Raw genomic sequence first — 7,342 nt, 5'->3', positions numbered from 1 at the left:
TGTATGGACACAGGGAGGGGAACAACACACACTGGGGCCTGTCGGTGGGGCAGGGGGAGGGAGAACATCAAGATAAATAGTGAATACATGCGGGGCTTAAATACCTAAATGACGGGGTGATAGGTTCAGCAAACCACCGTGGCACATGTTTACCTATGTAACAAACCTGCGTGTCCTGCACATACATTCCAGAACTGAAAATTAAATTACATTTTTAAAAAGTATTTATATAATAACCAGAAAAAAAAAAAAGAGAGACTGGGCACAGTGGCTCAAACCTGTAATCCCAGCTCTTTGGGAGGCTGAGGCGGGCGGATCACCTGAGGTCAGGAGTTCAAGACCAGCCTGGCCAACGTGGTGAAACCCCGTCTCTACTAAAAATACAAAAATTAGCAGGGCGTGGTGGTATGCGCCTGTAATCTCAGCTACTCAAGAGGCTGAGACACGAGAATTGCTTGAACCCGGGAGGCAGAGGCTGCAGTGAGCTGAGACCACTCCACTGCACTTCAGCCTGGGTGACAGAGTGAAACTCCATCTCAAAAAAAAGGTGTTCTACCTGCGTGTGTCTGCAGTGAGGGGTTCAGGGATTATGGAATGTGAGAGTTTTAAGAAATTTGGTTAGGGGCCAGGGCCAGTTTCTTTCCGTGTTTCGGGCGACAACCTCGAGACCTTAATGAGTGTCTGGGAATGTTCGAGACTCCGGTTTGGGCCCGGTTTGGGTTTGGGCGTGCTGGGAGAAGCTTGCACCTGGCTGGGTGAAGAGCTGTCAGGACACTCTGTGATTCTTGGTCAGGGCACAGAAAGAAAGTGAAGTAGGGGAGAAGGGTTACTGGGGGACCCCACAGAGGCCATTGCAAAACTGGTGAGGTAGAGTTTCCGTAAGGACAGTAAGGACAGAACCAGGACCCCCAGGCAGAAATGGGAGGAATAGAAGGCAATATTCCGACCTCAGTTTCAGGTTCTTGGTCAGAACTGTGAGGAATCAGGGCAGTGTCTAAAACCTCAAACAGCGTCATGCTAGTGTAGACGTCCAAGCTTGGTGAGGAGCGATTCATAGTTAGCACTGTTGAGTGCTTACACCTGAAATTAAGTGATGCTCCAAGTACAAGTGTTATGTCATTTCATGCATACGACAGCCCTAGACAGCCCTGTGAAGCAGTATTATTTCCTTTTTTTTTTTTTTTTTTTTTGAGAGAGGGTATCGCTCTGTCGCTCAGGCTGGAATGCAATGGCACAATCACGGCTCACTGCAGCCTCGACCTCCCAGGCTTAAGTGATGCTCCCACCTCAGCCTCCTTAGTAACTGGGACCACAGGTGTGTGCCACCATACCTGGCTCATTCTTTTTATTTTTGGTAATAGTATTACTTGGGGTCTCACTATATTGCCCAGGCTGGTCTTGAGCGGGGCTCAAGCGATCCTCCTGCCTGGGCCTCCCAACTTGCTGAGGTTACCATGTACTGGCCCGGATATTATTTTCAAACACATTTTCCTGATGAGGGGACTGAGGCATGGGGAGACAAGCTGGTACAGTTAGTAAGTGGTGAGTGGTGGAGCTGAGATTTGAACCCAGCAGACCTGGCTTTACTGCCTTTGTGCTTCATCTTCGTATCTGGCTAACCCAGAGGCAGATGTACAATGGAGCTAGAGAAACTTAAGTTTCAGGCCCTTATTTATTTGATACTCTCTAAGACACTGGGCCTAATTTTATCATTTGTAATTTTTAAATTATTTTTTCTTTTTTTTTTTTTTGAGACAGAGTCTCTCTCTGCCACCAGGCTGGAGTGCAGTGGCGCCATCTCGGCTCACTGCAACCTCTGTCTCCCGGGTTCAAGTGATTCTCCTGCCTCAGCCTCCCAAGTAGTTGGAATTACAGGCATGCGCCACCACGCCTGGCTAATTTTTGTATTTTTAGTAGAGACGGGGTTTCACTGTGTTAGCCAGGATGGTCTCAATCTCTCGACCTCGTGATCTGCCCGCCTCGGCCTCCCAAAGTGCTGGGATTACAGGCGTGAGCCACTGCGCCAGGCCTTTTTTTTTTTTTTTTTTTTTTTGAGACAGAGTTTTGCTCTTGTTGTCCAGGGTGGAGTACAATGGCGCAATCTCAGCTCACCGCAATCTCTGCCTCCTGGGTTCAAGCGATTCTCCTGCCTCAGCCTCCTGAGTAGCTGGGATTACAGATCCACACCACCACACCCGGCTAATTTTTGTATTTTTAGTAGAGACGGGGTTTCTCCATGTTGGTCAGGCTGGTCTCGAACTCCTGATCTCAGGTGATCCACTCGCCTCAGCCTCCCAAAGTGCTGGGATTACAGGTGTGAGCCATCGCCCAGCCTGAGTGTCTAGTTTCAAAGTCTAAGCCCTACTCCAATTCCACTCAGTGTAGTTTCTTGGGGAATAAACGCAATGCTCTGGTGAGACCGCAAGGCAGGGGCAAACATGGTCTTTCTCTGGTCTGGAACTAGTGTGTCTGTCCCTTCGGTGTGGGGGTGTGAGGGAAGCCTTTGGGACGCCTTGCAGTGCAGGTAGAACGAAGGGAGGGTACAACCAACACGCACACGGTGCAGGACACACAGTAAGCTTTCCTGCCTGCCGGAGACACACTTGGGGAAGAATTAGAGAGACACCCAGGGGCTTATGTGCACTGTGTTCACCACAGTGGGAGGTATAATAGTTACCAACAGAAAATCTGAATGCTGCACAATAGTGGAATGATTACATAAATTAGGGACAGTCATATAATGAAATACTACTCCCATTAAAAATCATATTTTCTGCCGGACGTGGTGGCTCATGCCTGTAATCCCAGCACTTTGGGAGGCCAAGGCAGGTGGATCACGAGGTCAGGAGTTCAAGACCAGCCTGGCCAACATAGTGAAACCCCATCTCTACTAAAAATACAAAAATTAGCCGAGTGTGGTGGCACGTGCCTGTAAACCCAGCTACTAGGGAGGCTGACGCAGGAGAATCACTTGAACCCGGGAGGTGGAGGTTACAGTGAGCCAAGATCATGCCATTGCACTCCAGCCTGGGCGACAGAGTGGGACTCCATCTCAAAAAAAAAAAAAAAAAAATCAGGCCGGGTGTGGTGGCTCACACCTGTAATCCCCCAGTGCTTTGGGAGGCCGAAGCGGGTGGATCACCTGAGGTCAGGAGTACGAGACAAGCCTGACCAATATGGTGAAACCCAGTCTCTATTGAAAAATAATAATAATAATACAAAAATGAGCCAGGCATGGTGGTGTGCGCCTGTAGTCCCAGCTACTGGGGAGGCTGAGACAGGAGAATTGTTTGAACCTGGGAGGCAGAGGTTGCAGTGAGCCCAGATCGCACCACTGCACTCCAGCCTGGGTAACAGAGTGAGACACCATCTCAAAAAAAAAAAAAAAGTAAAAAAAAAAAAAAAATCATAGTTTCTGAGACAATTAAATTCAATGCATGCTCCTATATTATTTCTGGTTACTGGAAGACTGAAAAACAACTATAAAGAACATTACAAGGACAAGTGAGAAATTTTTATATGAAGTGTTTATTAGATAATATCGTATCATTTATTGAATGTAGATTTTTGCATAAGAAATGTAATAAAATGTGCTAATTTGTAGAAGACACATGCTTATACATTTAGGAATATAAAAGTTCATATTTTAAAGAACTATCTAATGATTGAAGGAAGTTCACTATGTAATATTAAGGTAACCTTTTTTTCATTTTGTTAAAAACATACATACATTAAAAAACAAAGGGTTAGAAAAATATACACAAAAATATAAGCACTGGTTATCTGCATGTTGTAAAATTGCATGCAATTTTTATTTTAACCTTTGCACATTTCAGCATTTTTTCATTTTCCTATGGTGGCGTATTGGATCTCATCCTTCCAAGGTACAAGCCAGGGATAAATCCAAGAATATAGAAGGCTGGATTGGCCACATTCTTCAGTTACTTAGTGTAAGAGGGCCTTGTAAAGTAATCTAAGGTCAGATAAGGTACCGGTACTCTCCAAGCATAATAGGTTGATTGTGGCAGGGGCAGGGGGAGGTACACCAGGAAGTTGGGAATAATCAGAGCAAAAGAGTAGATAAAGATCTTATCTGAAGTTGTTTTGGATATCAGATTTCAGCATAAGAGATTGGCAATATTTTATTTTTAAAGTGCTCCAGGAGGAAGAAAATTTAAAAATAAAGCAAATTGCAGTCCGATGCAGAAGATTCCTCCTGATGTCCTTCCTACCTCTTCTAGCCAAGTTCGAAGAGGTGGAGAAGCAGATTCCGCTTGGAATAGCTATCTCCCGGGGAAATGGGCCCCTCAGGAAAGGGGGGAAAGACAGGGATTTGGAGAGGAATTAACAAGGGAGGATAAGGAACAGCTTAAGGAATGGTGGCAGGTTCTGTGGGGACACCTTCATATCCAAAGAATGTCGTTATCACGAGGTCAAAGGCCGAAGCAGCGAGACCCCACCCTGAGCAGTGCAAGGGATGAGTGTCTACACGGGGGAACACACTTCCCAGGGTCCACTCTCACTCCCCTTCTCAACCCCTCTCTCACTCCCCTTCTCACCCCCACTCTCACTCCCCTTCTCACCCCCACTCTCACTCCCCTTCTCACCCTCTCTCTCACTCCCCTTCTCACCCCCACTCTCACTCCCCTTCTCACCCCCACTCTCACTCCCCTTCTCACCCCCACTCTCACTCCCCTTCTCAACCCCTCTCTCACTCCCCTTCTCACCCCCACTCTCACTCCCCTTCTCACCCCCACTCTCACTCCCCTTCTCACCCTCTCTCTCACTCCCCTTCTCAACCCCCACTCTCACTTCCCTTCTCACCCCCTCTCTCACTCCCCTTCTCACCCCCACTCTCACTCCCCTTCTCACCCTCTCTCTCACTCCCCTTCTCAACCCCCACTCTCACTTCCCTTCTCACCCCCACTCTCACTCCCCTTCTCAACCCCTCTCTCACTCCCCTTCTCAACCCCTCTCTCACTCCCCTTCTCACCCCCACTCTCACTCCCCTTCTCACCCCCACTCTCACTCCCCTTCTCAACCCCTCTCTCACTCCCCTTCTCACCCCCACTCTCACTCCCCTTCTCACCCCCACTCTCACTCCCCTTCTCAACCCCTCTCTCACTCCCCTTCTCACCCTCTCTCTCACTCCCCTTCTCAACCCCCACTCTCACTTCCCTTCTCACCCTCTCTCTCACTCCCCTTCTCACCCCCACTCTCACTCCCCTTCTCACCCCCACTCTCACTCCCCTTCTCACCCCCACTCTCACTCCCCTTCTCACCCTCTCTCTCATTCCCCTTCTCAACCCCCACTCTCACTCCCCTTCTCACCCTCTCTCTCACTCCCCTTCTCAACCCCCACTCTCACTTCCCTTCTCACCCCCTCTCTCACTCCCCTTCTCACCCCCACTCTCACTTCCCTTCTCACACCCTCTGTCACTCCCCTTCTCACCCCCACTCTCACTCCCCTTCTCACCCCCACTCTCACTCCCCTTCTCACCCCCTCTCACTCCCCTTCTCACCCCCACTCTCACTCCCCTTCTCACCCCCACTCTCACTCCCCTTCTCACCCCCACTCTCACTCCCCTTCTCACCCCCACTCTCACTCCCCTTCTCACCCCCACTCTCACTCCCCTTCTCAACCCCTCTCTCACTCCCCTTCTCACCCCCACTCTCACTCCCCTTCTCACCCCCACTCTCACTCCCCTTCTCACCCCCACTCTCACTCCCCTTCTCACCCCCACTCTCACTCCCCTTCTCACCCCCACTCTCCCCTTCTCACCCCCACTCTCACTCCCCTTCTCAACCCCTCTCTCACTCCCCTTCTCACCCCCACTCTCACTCCCCTTCTCAACCCCTCTCTCACTCCCCTTCTCACCCCCACTCTCACTCCCCTTCTCACCCTCTCTCTCACTCCCCTTCTCACCCCCACTCTCACTCCCCTTCTCACCCCCACTCTCACTCCCCTTCTCACCCCCACTCTCACTCCCCTTCTCACCCCCACTCTCACTCCCCTTCTCAACCCCTCTCTCACTCCCCTTCTCACCCCCACTCTCACTCCCCTTCTCACCCCCACTCTCACTCCCCTTCTCACCCCCACTCTCACTCCGCTTCTCACCCCCACTCTCACTCCCCTTCTCACCCTCTCTCTCACTCCCCTTCTCAACCCCCTCTCTCACTCCCCTTCTCACCCCCACTCTCACTCCCCTTCTCACCCCCACTCTCACTCCCCTTCTCACCCCCACTCTCACTCCCCTTCTCACCCCCACTCTCACTCCCCTTCTCAACCCCTCTCTCACTCCCCTTCTCACCCTCTCTCTCACTCCCCTTCTCAACCCCCACTCTCACTTCCCTTCTCACCCCCTCTCTCACTCCCCTTCTCACCCCCACTCTCACTCCCCTTCTCACCCTCTCTCTCACTCCCCTTCTCAACCCCCACTCTCACTTCCCTTCTCACCCCCACTCTCAATCCCCTTCTCAACCCCTCTCTCACTCCCCTTCTCAACCCCTCTCTCACTCCCCTTCTCACCCCCACTCTCACTCCCTTTCTCACCCCCACTCTCACTCCCCTTCTCAACCCCTCTCTCACTCCCCTTCTCACCCCCACTCTCACTCCCCTTCTCACCCCCACTCTCACTCCCCTTCTCACCCCCACTCTCACTCCCCTTCTCAACCCCTCTCTCACTCCCCTTCTCACCCTCTCTCTCACTCCCCTTCTCAACCCCCACTCTCACTTCCCTTCTCACCCCCTCTCTCACTCCCCTTCTCACCCCCACTCTCACTCCCCTTCTCACCCTCTCTCTCACTCCCCTTCTCAACCCCCACTCTCACTCCCCTTCTCACCCTCTCTCTCACTCCCCTTCTCAACCCCCACTCTCACTTCCCTTCTCACCCCCTCTCTCACTCCCCTTCTCACCCCCACTCTCACTCCCCTTCTCACCCCCTCTCTCACTCCCCTTCTCACCCCCACTCTCACTCCCCTTCTCACCCCCTCTCTCACTCCCCTTCTCACCCCCACTCTCACTCCCCTTCTCACCCCCTCTCTCACTCCCCTTCTCACCCCCACTCTCACTCCCCTTCTCACCCCCACTCTCACTCCCCTTCTCACCCCCACTCTCACTCCCCTTCTCACCCCCACTCTCACTCCCCTTCTCACCCCCACTCTCACTCCCCTTCTCACCCCCACTCTCACTCCCCTTCTCAACCCCTCTCCCTCCCCTTCTCACCCCCACTCTCACTCCCCTTCTCAACCCCTCTCTCACTCCCCTTCTCACCCCCACTCTCACTCCCCTTCTCACCCCCACTCTCACTCCCCTTCTCACCCCCACTCTCACTCCCCTTC

The sequence above is a fragment of the Homo sapiens genome, chromosome 4, assembly GCF_000001405.40.
Source record: "Homo sapiens chromosome 4, GRCh38.p14 Primary Assembly".
NCBI lineage: Eukaryota > Metazoa > Chordata > Mammalia > Primates > Hominidae > Homo > Homo sapiens.
The sequence above is the reverse complement of the archived record's forward strand: the minus strand, read 5'-3'. Positions refer to the sequence as shown.